General features: G+C 39.1%; 1 protein-coding gene across 1 annotated transcript in view; it reads left to right on the top strand.

Annotated features, from left to right (window-relative positions):
* Positions 1–22,867, top strand: part of DNER (delta/notch like EGF repeat containing) — a 356,927-nt gene that overhangs the window by 251,694 nt on the left and 82,366 nt on the right. Inside the window, exon 8 of the mRNA NM_139072.4 lies at positions 15,322–15,546. Coding sequence (NP_620711.3) covers positions 15,322–15,546 — 225 coding nt within the window. The remainder of the gene's footprint in view (positions 1–15,321; positions 15,547–22,867) is intronic.

Here is a 22,867-nt window from a genome sequence, read left to right as displayed (position 1 = left end):
AGGAATGGCTTGTTATTTCTGGAAACTGAATGGAGGCCAGTGGGGCCAGCTTCTGAAGCATGTGGCGTAAGACTGGTGAGCTGCGCTTAGAGCCCACAGGACTTGTAGCCTATGGAAAGGAGGTCAAATTTTATTCTAGGAATTACTGGAAGTCATGATAATATTAACATTTTAAGAAAATGATTATTGCTGTTTGGAGAATTGGTTGTAGGGGTAAGATGGACAGGGAATCTCATAAGAGAAAACTGTTATAATGGGAGCGAAATATTAATAGTTGTATCTTTGGCTAGGATGGTAGCAGCCAAGTTGCAAGAAAGTGTTTGGGTTCATGATGTATTTTGGAGATAGTGTCTATAAGATCCACTAATTGGATGGATATGGGGGTTCAGAGAAGAAAAACAATCAGGTATGACTCCTAGGTTTCTGACTGGAGCCATTTGCCAAGGCAATGGAATGCTGAGTTGAGTTTAAAATGCCTATACACATCATTTCTTTGATGTGAATTGTCTTTACCCTGTCAGCAAAAAATGCCAGTGTCACTTTATTCTGTATTTTCCTTTAGTATTGCAAAAATTTCTGACACCTCTATTGCTTTCTGACAATACATAGAGTGACTTCATTGTCTTGCAATTTAAAATCTTCCAGAAATGTTTTCTTTTGGTCTTAAATATCTGATTCCATAATGGGTGTATCTCAAGGGTATTGATTTCTTTCTACTTACATAATAAATAATTCAGCAGTAATGTTCACTTTAATATTGGTTCAAACACAAAATTTGAAGGAAAGTCAACTAGCTAAATTACTTTATTTGCATTCCTCTTCAGTAGGTTTCTTTTGTAATTCTATTTTGTTTATTTTCCATTGTAATTCTTTAATCTTTCATCCTTTTCTAAACTTTTCCCTTGTTTTAAAATCAGTTGTTTGAAATCTCTTGGCTGCTGCCATTGTTTCCATGTGTTTGAAATAGACCTTTTCTCTGGAGCTGTTGTGTTTTCTTTCCAAGATTTCCTTATGTCCATCATCTTAGGTCTGTATCATTTGAATTACACTATTGCACACCAGAGATATCACTATGTTCATCTTTCTGCTTGCACTTTTTGGCTACCATCACCAAATAGTTTTTCATTTTCTACTCTTCAAGGAAGATTGTAAATCCAAATATATTTGCTTATTAGCTTCCAGTTAGGACTGTATATTATTCCTCTGTTATAGCTTATTAATCCTTTAGTCATTTCATAAATACTACTATTATTTTTATTATTTATATGACATCATTCTACGTAGCAGTATTGTATTTGTTCTCCTATCTATCGTTTTTCATATTTTGGAGGTTAAATGTGTCCATGAATGTGCTTGAACCCAGGAATGTTAAATTTCCTTTTCCAATTCTCTACCCTTTGCCACCATAACTAATTTAATTTGCATATTCTATAAGGGGAATTTTAAAAAAAACACTTACCTTGAGAGATCATTATTACTAGGTTGACCGGTCAGAGCTCTTAAAGAGCCGTGCTAATAAAAAGAGAAACTTTACCAAAGGCTAGCTCAAATAATTTCTTTTAGAGTTATAACATTATGTAGGAACAGGACAATGCAGAGAGGTCCCTAGGTCTGGAGATTGAATTGAAAACTCTTTATATATAATGTATGTCTGTATATTTATATTGAGAGAGAAGGAGGGAAAGGAGAAAATAGAGTGAATGAGAATATTGGTTTATTTTTAGAATTTTTTGGGGAAGATGAAATCTGTTCTGACCGTCTCAGCCACAGATGACCCAAAGCCTTTTCCACCTTGTGTTGTAAAATGTCTTTTTACTAGCACTCATCCTACTGCCCTACACTCTGTAACTCCAACACAGGGATGCGTTTACTCATCTTTGCTTTAGCTTTGACTTGCAGACTTCTATATTTCTACAAGGGGGAATCGGACTCACATAGTACTGTATCTGAGTTTGGGATCACTTACACAGGTGCTTCTTCTGAATATACATTGTTTCACATGTGGTCTCCGTTAAATTTTGAAACTATGTTTGTAACATTTGACCTTCTTGTGATCACTATCAGGTTGACAAGCTAGTTTTGACTCAAAATTTCAAAATATATCCATCAACAAACCTGTAACATGCATTGTAGCTAAGAGCCACCAATCAACCAACGTCTGGTCTCCATCAGCAGATTAGTAGGCTATGCCTGCATCTTGAATATTAAAAACTAATATTCAAATTTGATGGCTATAATTTTTGTTCTGAAAATTTATAATGTCATCAGATGTTTCTTATTGTGTTAGATTTTATAAATTACCAGTGTAAGAACTGGTTGCCTTGTGCATCCTTATGAAAAAAAGTTCTCCTGAAAATATGGCTTTAGGTTTGTATTTAAAACCAATCAGCTCTAAAAAGAAATAATAATTTATATATTTCATATATAATTTTTGTATATTGACTTTGTATGCTGGTAGTTTTTAAAAAGCTCTCAACATTACACATTGGCTTGTAATAGTTTTTAAAAAGCTCTCAACATTACACATTAGCTTGTAACACCAAAACATTTATGATTTTCTCTTAAAGTTTCTTACATAAACATCTTGGCTCTTAATTTGATATCTGAATTATTTTAAGAGTTCTGATTTTATAAGGAGTTGGTAGCACATGTTTATTCCTTAGGACTCAAATTTCATAATTTTTTTTTTTTTTTTTTTTTTTTTTGAGACGGAGTCTCACTCTGTCACCCAGGCTGGAGTGTAGTGGCGCGATCTCTGCTCACTGCAAGCTCCGCCTCCCAGGTTCACGCCATTCTCCTGCCTCAGTCTCCCGAGTAGTTGGGACTACAGGCACCCCCCACCACGCCCAGCTAATTTTTTGTATGTTTAGTAGAGACGGGGTTTCACCATGTTAGACAGGATGGTCTCGATCTTTTGACCTTGTGATCCACCCGCTTCGGCCTCCCAAAGTGCTGGGATTACAGGCGTGAGCCACCGTGCCCGGCCTCTTTTTTTTGTTTTGAGATGGAGTTTTACTATGTTGCCCAGGCTGGTCTTGAACTCCTGCCTCAGCCTCCTGAGTAGCCGGGATTACAGGCACACACCACCATGCCCAGCTGATCTGAACATAATTTCATATGCTAGCACGGCGTTTTCGACTTGTCAAATGCTTTCACACGAACTCTCTTGTGAGAAGCAGCAAATAGATTGGGGCTTAAGAGCACAGATTTGGAGTCAGACAAACCTGATTGAATGTTATTTTTCCCAGTTACTAGATGAGTGTTTCTAGGTTAGTTCCCTAAAGCGAAGTCTCTGAACCTTCGTCTGTAAAAAGTAGATGGTGGTAGAACCTACCTGAGCCAGTGGTTGTGATAAGTAAGAAAGAATAGATACCAATTGCTCGGCATAATGTCCCGTATGTAGTAAGAACTCAATAAAATTTTTCTATTACTTTTAACACAACAATTTCTCTTCTTTCTTCTTCTATTTCTACTAGTACAACTATAACTACTGGATGCATACAGCTATTCTATTATTTCCATTTTTAACAAATAAGATAACAGACATATAAGAGATGTATAAAACATATAAGAGCTACTTACTTGATTGCGCTGACATAATTTATCAATTAGAATTTGATTTAGTTATAAACAATAGGCATCCCCAAATAATTAGTACTGCAGTAAATCAATTTGAATAGAACTTAAATATTAACAATAGTGAGACTTCCAACCCATCAACGTGGTATATGTCTTCATTTATTTGGGTATTTTTAATTTCTTCAAGTAATGTTTTATAGTTTTCAGTGTAGACATCTTGCATATCTTTTGTTAAATTTAATCCTATTTTATGCTTTTTGATAATATTATAAATGCCAGTAAAACATTTTTTAATTTCCAGTTGCTTATTACTAGTGTATAGAAACACTATTGATTTTTGTATATTGACTTTGTATGCTGACAGTTTGCTAAATTTACCTATTAGTTCCCCAAATTTTTATTTTAGATTTCTTTGGATTTTCTTTGTATAAAATCGTAGATTGTTGAATAATAAGTCTTATTTTCCTTTCTACACTTTATGTTTTTTATTTCTTTTACTTTTTTTTTGCATATATAGAACCTCCAGTAAAATATTGAATGTAAATGCTGAGGGTAGACATCCTTGCTTTGCTCTCTATCTTAGGGAGAAAATATTTATTATTTCATCATTGAGTATGATATTAGCCATAGTTTTTTTTTTGTATATACCCTAAAAGATACAGCAAGTGTTACCTTCTATTTTAGTTTGCTGAGAGTTTTTCTTTCTTCTTAAAAATGATGAATGCATATTGAATTTTGCCAAATAATTTTTCTGTATCTATTAAAATGACTTATTTCATGTGCACATGAAAAGAATATGTTATTTAACTATTGTATAAACTAGCTCATTTTGTCAATTGATTCTGTCAGTTACTAAGAAAGGGCTTCTTCTCTGATAATTTCTGTTTCTCTTGCTAGCAGTTTTTCTTTCATGTATTTTGAAGCTCTCTTATTAGGCGCCTACATATTTGGGATTGTTAAAGCTTCCTGTTGGATTACTCACTTTTTCATATTAAGTGTCCCTTTTTATGTCAGATAATGTTCTTAGTCTTGAAGTCTACCTTTTCTGATTTTAACAGAGAATACTAGTTTTCTTATGCTTTCTTTTTCACAATGTATCTTTCCCTATTCTTTTACTTTCCTTTTTTTTTTTTTTTTTTTTTTTTTTGAGATAGAGTCTTGCTCTGTGACCCAGGCTGGAGTGCAGTGGTGTGATCTCAGCTCACTGCAACCTCTGCCTCCTGGGTTTAAGCGATTCTCCTGCCTTAGCCGCCCCAGTAGCTGGGATTACAGGTGCACACCACCACACCTGACTAATTTTTGTATTTTTAGTAGAGACAGGGTTTCACCACATTGGCCAGGCTGGTCTCGAACTCCTCACCTCGTGATCTGCCCACCTTGGCCTCCTGAAGTGCTGGGATTACAGGTGTAAGCCACCGCACCTGTCCTTACTTTCCATTTTTATGTGTCTTTATGCTGGAGTGGGTTTCTTTTAGAGAGCACATAGTTAGATCTTTTTTTTTTTTTCCAAATAAAGTCTGACAATCTACGCCTTTTAATTGGGGTGTTAGTCTACTTATATTCAATATAACCTTGATATGATTGGATCTAAGTCTACCTCATTGCTATTTATTTTCTATTTTTCTCATATGTTCTTTGTTTTATTCTATTCCTGCCCTCTTTGGTGGTGGGGGTGGGTGGGTAAATAGAATATTTAAAAAGATACTATTTTCTTAACTGGCTTCTTAGCTATACTGCTGGGTTTTTTGGTTTGGGGTTTTTGTTGCGTCTGTTTTAGTTTTAGTGGCTGCTCTGGGAATTACAGTGTACACCCTTAATTTATGAGAGTCTACTTAGAATCAATATTTAATCACTTCATGCAAAATGTAAGAACCTAACGGTAGTAAAATTCTATTAACTTCCCTTATTATTTGTTCTCTTGTTATGTATATTCCTTCTATGTACGTTACAACATCATAATTCAATGTTCTTTTTGCTTTTAACCATTTTTAAAAGAAATTAAGAAAAAAATGAATATTTACTCCCCCAGACTGCCATTTCTAGGGCCCTTAATTTCTTCCTGTAGACTTGAGTTTCCACCTATTATTGTTTCTATTCAGCTTAAATAACTTTCTTTAGTATTTTTGTAGTGTGGCTAGATCTGCTGGCAACAAACTTTCTCAGCTGTTCTTTATCAGAAAATATCTTAATTAACCTTGATTACTAGAAGTTATTTTCCCTGAAACTAGAATTCTGTTTGACGAGTTTATTTTTCCAGTGCCTTAAAGATGTCATTTTGTTATCTTATGCTTCTGTAGATCTTGGTGACAAGTCATCTGTCAATCTTACTATTGCTTGATGTGTGTATCATGTCTTTTTTTTTCTTTTTGGCTTCTTTTAATGTTTTCTCTCAATTTTTGGTTTTCAGCAGCTTGTCTGTGACATTCCTGTATATTTGATTTATTCTCCCTGGGGTTCACTGAGCATATTGTGTATGGGTAGATGTTTTTCACCAAACTTAGGAAAAACTCGGTCATCATCTGTGTGGTCTAGATGGTAGGATGGATGAAGGGGGAAAATAGTGAAAGAGCAAAGGGTGCTTGCCAACTTCTTTCAAGGAATTTTCTATAGAGGTGACTTCAGGACATTTTCACTTGTGTCTGTTATTCAGAAGGTCATCACAGATGTACATGTAGCTGCAGAAGAGGCTGGTCCCTGTAGACATTGTTCTATGTTGCCATGTGACCAGAAGTGTAAGACCATGGGAAGTGGAGAGATGGATGTTAGGACAAAAAGTAGTTTCTGATACACATGGTCAGGAAGGGACAGAGGCCTGACAGACCCTGGAGCACCTGCCCTCTCATTCTTGGCCTTTCTGCTTGGTGTGGTTTAGATGTTTGTCCCCTTCAAATCTGATGTGGAAACGTAATTCCCAGTGTTGGAGGTGGGGCCTGGTGGGAGGTGTTTGGATCACGGGGATCCATCATGAGTGACTCAGTGCCATCCCCTTGGTTCTCACTCTGAGTTCACGTGACAGCTGGTTGTTTACAAGTGTGTGGCACCTCCTGCATTTCTCTCTTGCTCTTGCTCTCACCCTGTGATACGCCAGCTTTCCCTTTCACCTTCTGCCATGATTGTAAACTCCATGCGGCCCTCACTAGAAGCATATGCTGGCACCATGATTCCTGTACAGCCTGCAGAACCGTCAGCCAATTAAACCTCTTTTCTTTATAAATTACCCAGTCTCAGGTATCCCTTTGTAGTAATGCAAAAATGGACTAATATACTGCTATACCCCAGGTGTTGGGTGCCACAGCACAGAGTGCTGGTTAGGAGCTTGGACCTGAATCTGACTGCCTGGGTTCAAATCTCAAACCTGCCGTTTACTAGCTGTGTAACTTTGGGCAAGTTACTTGATCTTTCTATCCCTATTTTCTCATCTGAAAATGGGGAAATGATAGTTCTTATCTCATAGGATTGATGTGAGAGTTAAATGACTTAGTATATTTAAAACCCTTGGAACAGTGCCTGGTACATACAAGTGTTTGCTATTAACAAACACAACTTCAGCAGATTGTCCTTTCGAGCCTGTACAGAGATGTTCTCAGGGACACTCCTACCTCCCACCTCTTGCCACGGCTGTCTGCCCTGGGACCCCACCTCTGTTCACCAGCATCACTGCATGGCCCAGTAACTGTTCGTGTGTTTAGAGAGCAGTATGTGAGCACCTCCCAATTCCAGAAATCTCCGTTTATAGACATCCAGGGTCATGACCCTGTGGGATTCATACAAATGTGAAAATGGATGGTATTCCACAGACTGACTGACAGGCCAGCTTCCTTTCTCTAACCACAAACTCTGATTATACGGGCAACTTGAGATTACCCCAGAACCACCGTTTAAAGGGAAAAGAATCCGACATTTATTGACCACATGTGTCACCTTACTTGACTTCATGGTAGGAGCCAACACCATTTTGTAGGTAAGAAAATTAGAGAAAAAATGATTAAGCCTGAGGTCACACGGTAGTAAGAAGATTCAAACTTTGGTTTTCTGGCTCTGCATTCTTTGAATTATAAAACCTGTTCTTGCTTCTCTTAGGAAGGTCACTTAGAGGGTGGCTGAAGGAGATGTGAGTCATTTGTAAAAGGATGTCATATGAACAAGAAGATAATAGCTTAGCTGATAGAAGGAAATGGAGAATTTACTCGTTAAAGCAATAGCATCTCAAAAGTGACTCAGCCTTTAAGTCTGGCATTCCTTTTCTAGTGGTCATTAATAATCATGTGAGCCAGGAAAATTATCTCATAATTGCTGTACCTCACATTCATCTCTTCAAAGTGTATTCAGATATACCTTGCATTCATTTTCTTTTTGCTTTGTCATTCTTTGTAACAGAAGAGCATTTTATATCCCACTTTCTTTTTTTAGACTGTATAATATACCAAAAGTGTATTCTCTCCTCAGTATATACTGAGATATGCTAGCAGACTCTGAAAATATTAAGTATTAGTTCCATTCTCATCCTGCATTATATTTTCTTGAATTGGTAAGAAAAAGCAAAATTTTAAGAATAATAAAACACAGATCCTTGATTTAATAGCAGTGGGCCTTTTTGATATTCAATTCTACAAGCATTTATTGATATCTCTTTAGTGAAATTTTCCACTTTCTTTTTTAGACTGGATAATATGCCAAAAGTGTATTCTCTCCTCAGTATGTATACTGAGGTATGCTAGCAGACTCTGAAAATATTAAGTATTAGTTCCATTCTCATCCTGCATTATATTTTCCTGAATTGATAAGAAAAAGCAAAATTTTAATAATAATAAAAAAACACAGGATCCTTGATTCAACAGCAGTGGGACTTTTTGATATTCAATTCAACAAACATTTATTGATCATCTCTTTAGTGAAATTTTCCTGTAGTGTATGATCAATTACTCTTTCAAGTCTGTTCCATAAAGCAAAGCAAAACAAAAATCTCCCTCTGGCCTGTATTCCCACATAGATACAATCCTGTAGCTCCTATTAATTTTATCAGTTAACTTTGGCTGCATGACAAACCACCCCCAAAATGTAGTGGTTAAAATGGCAGCCACTCATTTAGCTCATAGTCCTTGTACATTGCAATAGCAATTTGGGCAAGCTTAGCTGGTCACTGGCCACACTGATGGAGGTCAAGTGGTCTAGAATGGCCTTGGCTGTGCTAGCTTCCTTTGCTCCATGCCGTCTCTCATCTTGCAGCAGGCTGGCGTGGGCTTGTGCATGTGATTTACAAGCAAGGTTCAGTGCCATTTTTTCACATTCTCTCTTCCATTGTTTTCAGTGACACCTTTCTCTCCTGGTTTCTCTTCTTTCTTTTTTTTTTTTTTTTTTTTTTAATATATTTTATTCCTGACCAAACCCTGCAACTTCTTTCTTTCTTGAAACTTAGCTAGCTGTCTATTCATCCATCCGTCTGTCTGCCTGTCTGTCCATTTATCTGTCCCTGGTCAAATGCCTACCATCTTCCAAGCTTCATGCTGAGCAACAGGGATACAAAGACATGTAAGTTACATTCCCTGATCTCAAGAAAATCAGAGACCACTTATGGAGGAGGCAGAAAGGGTGGGGTAGGTGCTAGGAGAGAGTGAGATCTACAGAGAGCTGCAGAACAAGAGGAGAGGTCTCTCAATGAGACATGCTCTTGGTTTCCTCTTCTTTCTTGTGCTCACAAGAGCTACAGTTGTTCAGAGTTCCAGCCTTGAGCTTTCTTGTCTCTCTGTTCATTTGCCCCAAGTGGTGTCATGTATACCTATGATGAATCCAATTCCCATCCATGTGCATATGGCTCCCAGTCAACAGTCTAGTTCATACCTCTCTCCTGAGCACAAGTTCTGCATATTTAATGACTATTGAACAACTGCAAAAGCATCTCAACTCACTTTGCACAAAGCTGAACTCATAACCCTCCCCTAGCAGCCTCCTCCTGTATTTTCCACTGCATTTGATAACAACACTATCCACATTGTCCCCCCATCTGAAAACCTGGAAATTACATTATAATTATTGCTGCTTCTTATTAACACTTAACAATTGGAGAGTCACTGTGCCAAGTGCTTTGCATAGATTTTTGCAGTTAAGCTTCATAAGAAATGAAAATTGTAAGCATTAATATCTTTCTTTCATGGATACAAAAGCAGAAAGTCAGAGTGATTAAGTACTAGCCCAAAGTCCCACAGTTTAGTGGGCTGAGATGGTGTTTAAATCCAATTCCCCTTGGTTCAAAGCTCTTTAACATTAACTCACACAGAGAAGACACATATACAGGGCCCATACATATGCTTTATTTGCTGGAGAAATTATTTATCAACAGTTTAAAATGACAAGCCTTGGCTGGGTGTGGTGGCTCACGCCTGTAATCCCAGCACTTTGGGAGGCTGAGGCGAGTGGATCACTTGAGGTCAGGAGTTCAAGACCAGCCTGGCCAACATGGTGAAACCCCGTCTCTACTAAAAATACAAAAATTAGCTGGGCGTGGTGGCAAGTGCCTGTAGTCCCAGTTACTTGGGAGGCTGAGGCAAGAGAATGCTTGAATCCAGGAGGCGGAGGTTGCAGTGAGCCGAGATCATGCCACTGCACTTCAGCCTGGGCTACGGAGCAAGACTCCATCTCAAAAAATAAATAAATAAATAAATAAAATAATAATAAAATAGACAAGGCTCAAACAGGAATTTGGATTTCGGACTTTTCTTGAACACTCAGAAGATATGGTACCTGGCCCCATGTTTCAAATTGGCTGCAGGTTATGGCGGCCGTCTTTTTTGGAAGGGGCATGCTTTCTCCCGTTTGCCACAGACCCTGCCAGTCCCTATTGTATTACACCTGATCCACCCTCTGTATCAACATTATCTACCGGAGTCCTGCTGGCATTTGCATTTTTGACTTATGTTACATTGTGTCTCTGGGCTCTGTCGTCTCTTCCATTCTTCTACAGTCCAAGTGGTCCCTGAATTGATAATTTTACTTATAAAATCATGCTCTAATATATTTCACATTCTTTATGTTTATTGCTACAAATTGGCCTTCACAACCTCAATTATTCGAGTAAACAACTGGTTTCATGCTTCCGGTCTCAACCTCTTCTGATTCCCTCTCCACATTGCCTATAATTAGAGATATAAATAATGAAAATAGATGATATCCAGTAGCCTCAGAATGAAATGTAAGCTCCCAAGTGTAACATATAAGACCAGTCGTGACCTGGCCTGACCAGTGCTCTCATTATTATTCATTTTCTGCACTTCTCTTCTTATTGAAATATTGGCTCTCTCCAAAGCCATGACCCTTTATGTCTCCTTGTTACCCATTTTTATTTCTACTTGGACTATTCTGTGTGGCTTATATTACTATTTATAACTGAGTATATTGACATAAAGCTAGAGTGATTGCCTTTCTAAAATTCACTTTTTCCTTTATTTTGACCTGATCAGTAAATCCTCTATTCTTTCACCAAGACACAAACAGGATAGAAACATAAGTCCTGGTTTTGCTTACACATCATAACATCTTAATTGGTTGGTCATTCACTTCTCTTCTGTGCAGTGTAGGAGACGTGTAAGCACTTGGCCTTGGTGTCCCAGCTCTGCCATATACTAGCTATTTAGACTTGAAAAGGTTACTTCACATTCTCATGTCACTGTTTTCACATTTGTAAGATAGGGCTATTATAGTTCTTACATCCTACTATAATAGTAGGATTAAATGAAATAGTTCACCTAAAGGGTTAGAACCAGGTGATGCAAATCAGCCTCCAGTGGATGTTAGCTGTTGCTGTTATTTATTTATTTGTTTATTTATTTTTCGAGACAGAGTCTTGCTCTGTCACCCAGCCTGTAGTGCAGTGGCACTATCTCGGCTCACTGCATCCTCCGCCTCCTGGGTTCAAGCGATTCTCCTGCCTCAGCCTCCCCAGTAGCTGGGATTACAGGCAGGCACCACCACACCCGGCTAATTTTTGTATTTTTAGTAGAGACGGGATTTCACCACGTTGGCCAGGCTGGTCTTGGACTCCTGACCTCGTGATCCGCCTGCCTCAGTCTCCCAAAGTGCTAGGATTATAGGCATGAGCCATCACGCCTGGCCTGTTGCTGTTATTATTAGCATTTTTAATTCATTCATTCTTCCAGCCTTGGACTGGGAACCGTACTAGGAAGTTTGATATGTATTTTTTTCAGAACCCACAGTGACTTTGTAAAGAAAACAGTTTCAGCCCTGTTTTCCAGGTAGAGGCAGTGGACGATGGGAGAAAGGGGGCCTTGCCATGGTCACTCAGACTGCTGGGGTGGTGAACACAGAATCAAACACAAGATCCTAATTATCGCTTCCCTGTCTCCTTATGCTCCCTATTTGTATGAGTCTTCTCAGGCTGCTGTGACCAAGGACTACAGGTTTAAACAACAGACATCTTTTTCTAGCTTTGGAGGCTGATAAGCAGTTCATCTACTTCTAGTTCTGGAGGCTGGAAGCTCAGGATCAAAGTGCTGGCAGGGTTGATTTTTTCTGAGGCCTCTCTCCTTGGCCTGCAGAGGGCCACCCTCTTGCTTCCTCCTCACAAGGTCTTTTCCTTTGTGCACAGGCATCTCTGGTGTCTTTTTCTGTGTCCTGATCTCTGCTTATAAAGACACCAGTCAGATTGCATTAGGGCTCAACCTAACAACTTCAGTTTAACTGACTCACCTCTTTAAAGGCACTATCCCTGAAAAGCCACATTCTGAGGTATTGAGAGTTAGGGCTTCAAAATATGAATTTTACTCAACCAGAGAAAGCTAATTTTAAAAAATATGAATTTTGGAGGGACGCAATTTAACCCATGACATTGCTAATCCAATGCTTAACTATCAACCTCCACTGAGAACTATATTTAATATTAACTCTTCTACTGGGTTCTAGTAGTTCTAAGTAATTTTCATTTTTATGCTCCTAACGTAGGTATAAGCTTCTTGTTCCTGATTTTTCTTATCTTTGACCCTCCCTAGATATTCTTTCCATCAAGTTCTCACCCACCTAATCTCATAGAGTTTTCAAGGATACAGTTCCTATGATCACTTCTCTTCTCTGTGTTCTCAACTAAAAGAGTTGACAGAGTTGACAGTTCTCAACTGTCACCTTCTGTCATCATTAGTTCAGTTCTTCTGGAGGAACAAAAATAATCAAAATGTCCTCTTAAATTTGATTTCTGTGCCCAGGCACGGTGGCTCACGCCTATAATCCCAGCACTTTGGGAGGCCGAGGCAGGTTGATCACGAGGTCAGGAGTTCGAGACCAGCCTGACCAACATGGTAAAGCCCCGTCTCAACTAAAAATACAAAAATTAGCCAGGCGTGGTGGTGTCCTCCTGTAATCACAGCTACTCAGGAGGCTGAGGCAGGAGAATCGCTTGACCCGAAGGCAGAGGTTGCAGTGAGCCAAGATTGTGCCATTGCACTCCAGCCTGGGCAACAGAGTGAGACTCTGTCTCAAAAAACAAAACAAAATAAAATAAAATAAATTGATTTCTATTTCTGAGCATTAACATTTATGATTTTCTGATTCACCTTGAGCTGCTGATTTGGGCAAACTGGTACCCAGCCTTGGGTATGGAATTTATCATGAGCCTGAATTTCTTGTAAAGAAATCAGTGCATCCACAAGGTTAACCTAGAACCTGCACTGCTCCCCACTGGCCACCGCCCACCCCCACCATTTTTTTTTCCTCTCAAGTCATAAGATGCAATCTTGGGTCACTATCTAACTAAATGCAAGCTGTAGGGTGGCTTGGTCAATTCATTTCTCAAAATTATTCCTTCATATTAAGAAAAAAATATTGAATGACTTTTAGTGTCATGCTCGAGGAAATCAAATGGGCCTTTTAATATTTTAAGCAGCTATGCTGCATTTTCTAGACAGATAAAAATTATTTTATTGTCTAAAATTAAAAGATTTGAGATATTAAATCCTATTTTTGAAATCATGTTAAATAGTGACGGTAACATATAGTACTGTCATATGTTGAAAAATGTTTAAGTATCTTCTTTTCAATCAGAGTAAAATGGAACATATCTCATGATGGGTAGAATTATATTCCACTTGAGGCTGCCAAGAAACTTTTTGGAGAATTCAAGTGTTATTAAAACTGATTGTATGGTACATTTTTAGTAGGATTTCTAAGATTTAAAAGCTACCAGGAATTTTATAAAATGCTGAATAGCATTGGATTTTTTTGGAGGATAATTTTATATTTCTATACTGCACAGAGAAATACCAAGTTGATTATGCCAATTTATGAGTGGTGCTTCACATAATTAAATCTGGGAGTTATTTTGGTTTGTTTACATATTAAATGTGTCCTTAACAACAACAAAAATTGTCAGTATTGCTAGGAGTTCTATAAGAAGATGAGTAAATAGAAACTTAAATGTAAACAAGAGACGTGTAATAGACTATTAGAATACAAACTATATGTGAGTGAAATTATTTAACTTTTATTTCTAAAATTTGAATAATATTTAATTTTCAAACTGCTCTTAAAGTATTGAAAGAAGTATAGTTTTATGGAAAGCATTGTTAAACATATATACCTACATGTATGCACAGATGTAGAGACCCACACATATGCACATGTATAATTTTTTAACAAGAAATACTGAATCAGATACACAGGAAACAAGATAAAAATCACCTACACAGTAACCATATTTAAAAGAAAAAGTTAACAGCCTTACATAATTTTATATAACATAAAATTTTATTTAAGTGTACAATTTATACATTATAAAATTCATTCATTTGAAAGTACAGTTCAAAGCATATTAGTAAATTTACAGAGTTGTGCAGCTATCACCACAATCCAAGTTTAAAACATTTCCATCCACCCCAGTGGACTCCTCATGTCCATTTGCAGTGAACTCCTCTTTCCGGCCCAGCCATAGGCAACCATTTATCTACTTTCTGTATCTACAGATTTGCTTTTCCTGCACATTTCTTACAAATGGGATTATATAATATGTAGTATTTCGTGCCTAGCTTCTTTTACTTAGCATAATGCTTTTGACATTCATTCATGTCATACGATGTGTCAGTACTTATTTTTTTTTTTATTGCTGAGTGGTATTTCATTGTGTGGGTAGATCACTTTTGTTTCTCTTACAACAATCAACTTTTTAAAAAGCATATATTCAAGAAACTGTTAACAGTGGCTGCTTGTAGAGAAGGGAATTAGAGACAAAGGGACAAGGATGAAAAAGAGACTTTTTCATTGTTTACTATTTGATATGGTTTTAATTTTTTGAATTCAGGATTATGTCATATCTATTAAAGCAAAATAAGAAATGTGTTCCCCATTAATATATACAAAATAAGAGGGGAGAGCCCTCTGCTGATCCAAATCCCATATTCCTTTAGGAAATTACCATTAATTTATTTTTGATATATTTCTAGAGTATACACACATGTTCATATACACATGTGTGCACATAAATATATTCATGTACACGTATGTATGTACTCCTAAACAGTCATATACCTTATATTTCAATAAAAATGGAATTGTGGGGCTTAATATTTTTAACCCTACATTACTAAAGGTGGGAAAAACAACCTACCTATCTTGTTGGGTTGTGACATATCTGGAAGCTGTGAATGAATTAATTGTTATGCATATACAGTGGAGCAGACTCAGTTGATTAGTTATTATGTGCAAATGTGTTTTAGTTTTTTTAAGCTCTCATGTGTTTTTTCACAGGATACTTCGGATCTGCTTGTGAAGAAAAGGTGGACCCCTGCGCCTCGTCTCCGTGCCAGAACAACGGCACCTGCTATGTGGACGGGGTACACTTTACCTGCAACTGCAGCCCGGGCTTCACAGGGCCGACCTGTGCCCAGCTTATTGACTTCTGTGCCCTCAGCCCCTGTGCTCATGGCACGTGCCGCAGCGTGGGCACCAGCTACAAATGCCTCTGTGATCCAGGTGGGTACCGCCCCTACACAGTACATCTTCCTTTTCTCAATCTCAAACCAATCTCAAAAGACCATTACTTTTTCTTTTGCATCTTGGTATACTTGTAAATAAAAGTGGTATACTTACTGGTATGCTTGTAAGTAAGTATACTTACTGATATACTTGTGAATAAAAGTGAATTCCACTCATTTATGACACACTTTCTTTTTTAGATTTACTCTTGGCAGGGTTAAAAAAATACTCTTTCATCATTTCATGATCAACTCACATTCATTGTAGAAAAAACAAGCAAAATAAAGAAAATTGAAAACAGGCTTAATCTCATCACAGGCTAAGCATTTTTATCAATTTACTGTAAGTCACTGCAGAACTTTCACTGTGTTGTGTATCTTTTACTATTGTGTGCTTAAGTTAACAGAATATCTTCTTTCATCTTAACGTGCATGAAAAGCACGGTGCAATACATTCAGAATTGTGTCATCTATTAAAATTGTTACTCTATGCACATTATGTTATATCACTGGCTCCCTATGTAAGAATTTAAAACTTTTACCATTTAATTTCCAAATGCCTTCTGCATTTGCATTACAGATTTTTAATTATGGAGGTTTTGATACCTAGAAGTGAGTGATTACTAGTCAAAATTTTGTGTGTGCACAACCCACTAGTGTAGTCAGAAAGGAATGCACGGGGCAGCCCTTTCCTCTCGTTTCTATTCTGTGTATGTCTCCATCCTTACACGAGCTGGCTCTTTAGAAAGCTTCCCAGCACAATGAATCCCCACACATCTCCCTGGCCAGTCAGTATGGCTGGCCAGTATCTGGTTTGGCTTGACCCTGGCTTTGCTGGTGCAATGGCCTCTAGCTGGAATGCGTGCTCCCCGTTACCCCACCTCACTGTACAAACTTCTACTTCTGGGGCTGACTCAGTTTCCCTTCCTCTGGGTTCCGACAGTCACCTACAATATCACTTTTGTGGTCTTGGAAACAGAACATTAATTATCCTTGTATGTGTCTCTCTCCTCCTTAGGGCTGGGAGGAACTGTGTTTTATTAATAGCTTTTGTATCAGCAGCAATCACCCTAAGCCACTATTTAGTGAGCACTGATCTTTCTAGATTCTGAGCCGGGTGCTTCACATCTCTGGTCTTTTTAGTGTCACATTTACACCAAGGTTTGAAATGCCTCTAGAGGTTCAGTCATGTGCCTGTGGCTACACACCCAGAATGGGGGCTGAGCCCAGATTCGAATGCCGGTGTCCCTGGTTTTGCTGCTCCAGTGCCTGGCCTGGAACTTCCAAAGGGCATGTCTCATACTCAACGAATAACTCAACAAGTTACTGAGAAATGCAATTTGGCACTTGAATGGTGTTGAAAAGCCTTTTTTCACATAGACTCTTAATTCCCCGATTTTCTAAGCAACTGATATTTTGCCAAGTGCCTCTTTCCTCTCTGCTCTGACATTCAGAGGGAATAGGGCTGTTTAATCTGCTTTGTAACAATGTTAGTAGTTAGGATTCTCCGGAGAAACAGGAGACAGAGAGCGAGGAGAGAGAGAGAGATTTATTTTAAGTAACTGGCTCATGCAATTGTGTGGACTCACAAGTCCAAAATCCGTAGGGAAGCTGGCAGGCTGGAAACTCAGGCGAGGTTTCTGTGTTGTGTCTTGAGCTGAATTATTTCTTCTTTGGGAAACCTCAGTCTTTGTCCTTAAGGTCCTCAGCTGTTTGGATGCAGCCCACGCACATTCTGGAGAGTCATCTGCTTCATTCAAAGTCTGCTGATTTAAACGTTAATCTCATCTAAAACACACCTTCATACCAACATCTAGATTAGTGTTTGAGCGAGTATCTAAGAACCATGGCCTAGCCAAGTTGACACCCGAAATGAACTATCGCAGTAACATTTTTGGATCTCATAAACCTTGAAGTGAAACAGTTTCTCCACTGTGTTTGACATGAGGATATTTTTCTTGGTTGACCTCCATGCTCTCCTTCAGAGCCAGGGTGGAGACAGGAATAGCTGCCCCTCAGAGGGTCCAGTTTTCTTCCATGTGGATTCGGGCTCACATGCTGTGAGCTGCGTGTCCTGTGGGAGGAGGCAGTGTGGCGCTGGCCCTTACCTATTGGGAATGTGGATCACTGAGACAACTTGTGTTTGCAAACTAAACAAGCTGCAATTGTGCTGGAAGAACAGAGGCTTACTCACGTACTGACTCACGAGCACGCTGTTCCCAGCTCTGCTCTGGATGTCGTAACACATGTGAAAATACCCCTCAGCAGCATTCTGAACAAAAACTTCCTTAATACTTTATTACCTGTCTCCTGAGAGTTCCGTTCTCTCTGTGAAGCCCCACAAAGAAGAATTAAATATTGTAAGACCAGAAAACAACTTTATTTTCTCCTCCCTTTCTCCTCTGACTTCTTTTCTTAATTATATCAAACTTTTTCTTTTTTAAAATTTTTTTGAGATGGAGTTTTGCTCTTGTTGCCCAGGCTTCAACCTCTGCCTCCCGGGTTCAAGCGATTCTCCTGCCTCAGTCTCCCAAGTAGTTGGGATTACAGGCTCCCACCACCACACCCTGCTAATTTTTGTATGTTTACTAGAGACAGGGTTGCACCATGTTGTCCAGGCCGGTCTTGAACTCCTGACCTCAGGTTATCTGCCTGCCTCGGCCTCCCACAGTGCTGGGATTACAGGCCTGAGCCACCATGCCTGACCCAAACTTTTTCTTATAGTTAGTTGATTTCTAAAACTTAAAATTGAAGGGAGTTAGAGATAAATAGTGTTTTTTAATAATACCAAATAGAGTTTTTCAACACGTGTGAGGCAACCAAATAGAAAATATACTGCCTGATGTTTCTCTTTCCACATTGGGAGAGGCAGCCGAGAGTGGTAGAAAGGACCTCTCTAACATCCTCGCTTATTGACTAAAACCATAGGAAATTTACAGGCATCTCTGGGACTCAGTTTTCCCCTCTATCAGAAAAGAGAGGAGAGTTATATGTCAGAGCATGAAATGAGAGGCAGGCAGCCCATTTCCTGGCATGGACTAGTGAAAGCTCTTCTTTCTTTCTGTCCGTGGAGATTCCAGCAGGATTCTCGAGCTATGTGGGGGTGAAATCACTCCTGTTTAATTTCCACTTTCCTTCCGTCTATTCTCTGCTAAAACATTCATGCCCACTTGGAGCGTTTGACTTGATAATTGTCTGTGGTCCAGCAGTAGCCCCTTAATAGCCTTGAAAAGCCTGAAGACGTGTGCATTCTGTTCGTGGAATGAACATGATCCCTTCATTTGTTCAGCAGTCTCAAAGCAGAGCCTTGTAATCGTGACAGGGCCCTCTTGTTGAACCTGGGAGCTGAAACTGCCTTCAGAGGGGATGTTTCTTCAGATTGTTAGGTGACTGTGTAAAATAAAAAAGGCATCTTAACACCAGGCAAGAACTTACATTTTAAGAGGTGAACATGACAAGTCTGTGAATGTGAAATTTCTCGTCTTCATCTTTTGGAGCATGTAATTGCTTCAACACCAGTTTGCATAATGGAAGAATCTCACGAGAATAGGTGAAATTGGGCATCTAGCTATGGAGCAGCAAGGCTGATCTTCTTTACAGAGAGCAAACGGATCTCATTTCATAAAATGGCAGCAGATTGAAGTCATGTCAGGTTGATAATTAGTTCCCATCTGACAAAATGCCATTTTGATTACTGCAAATCAGATTTGCCGGGTGTTTTATTTTCAAACTTCGTTTGTAGCTTTTCGGGCTAGGGATTTCTGATGGGATTTTAAGATTAAATAATAAAATGTCAGCACTGAGTAATTACTGAAATGTTATCTTCCAGTGACAGTGTTAAGTGATAGGCTACCCGTTCTCTTAAAAATTGCAAATTGAAATCTGCTGAAGAAAGTGAGAACTTGGAGCTGCTACAAACAGGATGAGGTGGAACTCGCTGGGGTGGGGGTGCCATTTCCCCTGCAGGTGGGAGCCACAGTATTGCTTGTGTTCTCAATACAATGGTGGCCTCTGCAGATAATAGCTGTACATGACCGGTATTGGAAGGAGTCCCTGGCAGGAAGGAAGATAGTTTGCACTTGAGTTATTACTCTAAACTTGTGGAATTGAATTAACCCTGCCATTATAGAATGTGCCTCACATATTACTATTTAAGGGAATTTAAGGGACAGGGCATTGGAGATTTTTACGTGGAAATATGTTTATAATTTTTTTTAACAAGCAAGATCTAAGATGCTCATCATTTCAACTGCAGTTGAAATCCCAGACTAGACATGGCACAGTTGCCAACCAAGTTCCTCTGCCCATTCTTCTTCACCAAAGGGCTGGTAACTCAATTAGATCATCCAGATATATAATAGGCTGTAAACCAAAGGAAATGTAGACTTTTTCCAAGTGAAATTTTTTGAAAGAAAATTATATTTGTAAGGATTTTAGATGTAATTTTTTTTTTGTATTTTCTACATATGCCTTACATGTGAGCTGCATTTCTGGTCTGTATGTCCCGAAAGACACAGTTGACACTGCTCCTTCTGTTAAACTCAGACCTGAAAATATCAGTAGTCCGATAATATTTGCTGGAAACAGGATCAAGGATAAGACTTAATGGTCAGGATTTTAATAGCAATTGAACAGCAATAAAGAAATAAATATACCTGCAAAGGTTTGAAGACATTTAGCTCACTAAGGCCCATGTGCCTTTACATTTTTGGATAAGTATAGTAAGTATAGTGGACAACTTTCATCTGTTATTAACCAGAAAAACTTTATCTAGTTTACCAGCATTTTTTTTTTTTTTTAAGACAGAGCGTTGCTCTGTCGCCCAGGCTGGAGTGCAGTGGCACAGTCTCAGCTCACTGCAACCTCCGCCTCCCAGGTTCACACCATTCTCCTGCCTCAGCCTCCCTAGTAGCTGGGACTACAGGCACCCACCACCACAACCAGCTAATTTTTTGTATTTTTAGTAAAGATGGGGTTTCACTGTGTTAGCCAGGATGGTCTCCATCTCCTGACCTCTTGATCTGCCTGCCTTGGCCTCCCAAAGTGCTGGGATTACAGGCGTGAGCACTGCTCCCGGCCGATGAAGGCATTCTTATATTTAACATGCTGTAGGGGGTTTCTGATCTGCATATCACACTATTCTTGAGAGTTGTAGATTGTATAGAATATATTACCTTTTTCCTCCAGATCCTAATCCTGCCCTCATGTCCTTCCTTTTCTGTATTCCAAAATATGATGCCCACCTCACCATTGGGACCCCAAATGGAATCCTGATCACCCAGCTGCATCTGTAGCAAGGGAGAGTTTGCTTTACTCTTCATAATCTGTGCTCTGCTTTAGAGAATGTTTAAATCTGTATATTGACATCATGATGATGCTGAGAACTGAGAAAAAGAAGAGCAGCCGCTGATGTCAGGAGCTTGCTTGGCACTTACAGGTAGACCTTGAGGTCGTTAGGAGCTGGTCTGATGCTTACAGCTGGGCCATGATGTCTTCTGCTGGACTTAAGAACATCAACAATTCCACATAACACGGATATTGGATATGACCATTCAGAGGCTATGATAGAGTCAGGCAAAACAAGACCACTTTATAATTTTGTCCAATACAAAAACAAGGTCACCCTGCAACCCGCAAAATACCAAGTATCCACTTTCTCTCAGTTCTTAGTGTCACATATGTAGAGTGACAGCTTCCTCTTTACCAAATACAGCATTGGTCTTGCTCTAGCCTTCCCATTCTTTAGATAAGAATTGCTCCTGCTTTCTGACAGCATCCAGCATTCACTCTAGAGTGAAATCTCCCCAAATAACCTAACCAGAGTTCAAATCCTATAATAAATCCCATCTAACACCTTCTAATTGAGACACTCCACGATTCCCATGGCGTGCAGTCTCTCTAACTGCAATGGGTAATAAACTCAACTTGTTCAACTACAGGTGTGTCCTTAGTAGTCTTTGGTTGAAGGGCATTGACAGAACTTAATTAATTAAAATGCTTGAAGTATTGAGGATGGCAATTGATTGAATTTTTATATGAACAATAGTTCATATAAAATTCTGAACAATAGTTCAGAATTTCCAATGAGTTGGACACTGAAATATTGTTTGGATTTATACGTGGGGGAAGTCCTGGGTCATGGGGGAGGAGTTCAAAGAAGAGTGGATCCAGTTTGCTGCAGGATAAGATGCATTAGATGCAGCAATAGGTAGTAAGGCTGAAAATGCTCATGGGGACACATGTGGGGAGAATGTAGATGCTAAGGAGTTTGGATTAAGAAGACTTGCAGACATTTGGCATTATTGGGTATATATGAGCTGATATGTATTTTAGACAGATTATTCTCATAGTATTTGGCATATATTATGGTCAAAAAGAGATGAAAAGATAGAGATCTTCTAGCAAGTACCAATAGAAATAAAGGCATGAACTTGTGTGTGGGAATGAAAGGATGGGTTAAACGTTTATGTGAGGATCGGGATCATCAGGGTTCAGTTGTCAGTTGGATGCGGGGAACAAGGGTGTGAATGGAGTCAAAGGACCCCTCTGGGTGATTCAGAGGAAATGGGAAATGTGCATACGCACCCTCTTTAGGGCTTGGGTACAGCAGGCTGAGCAACATGGATGTGTCGGTAAATGGTTCTTACTTGGGGCTGGAATGTGGGAACAAGACTGAAACCAGGGGAAAAAATATAGAGAGAGTTCCCATTGTATGGATGCTAGAGAAAGTCATGGAAGCCATCAAGATAGGAGAGGGTGAGAGTGTAAAAAGAAAGGGGAAAAAATTGGAAGAGAGTTGCAGAGTTCTTGCTTTGAGGTTGGAGGTAGTAGTGGCCACAGGAGAGGGCAGAGGAGCCAGCAGTGAGTTGGGAGGTCGGGAGGTTGCAGGGTGAGGGCGGTATCCTGGGAGTCAGGGGAGGGAGGAGGATGAGAGGGCACTGCCCAGGGCGTGAGGAGCTGAGTCAGGCTCCACTAGACGTCCAGACGCTAAGGTACCTTTCCTAAGCATGCTTCCAAACTGTGGCCACAGCCATTCTCCATCTTCATCTTGTTTGATTGTAAGTTGTGGGGGCATTCAGGTAGAATTCGTGATATTTGCCTTCTTTAGGCTTCTGACCTGAGAAATTAATACAAGGGGAGGAAGGACACTGCTGTTAAGCCAAGGGCACTTGCTGGTGGAGCATGAAATTTTTATGAGATTCCTGATATTACAAATCTATTCACAAGGCTGCTTTTTCACCTCACTTAAATTGGTTAATCCATATGTATGAAAACGTTAATGAACTGGTCTTTAATTGTAAGGGATTTCTGCTCCCACC

The sequence above is a fragment of the Homo sapiens genome, chromosome 2 (assembly GCF_000001405.40).
Source record: "Homo sapiens chromosome 2, GRCh38.p14 Primary Assembly".
In the NCBI taxonomy this organism is placed as follows: domain Eukaryota; kingdom Metazoa; phylum Chordata; class Mammalia; order Primates; family Hominidae; genus Homo; species Homo sapiens.
Note: the sequence above shows the minus strand (reverse complement) of the source record. Positions and strands in the feature narration are given on the sequence as shown.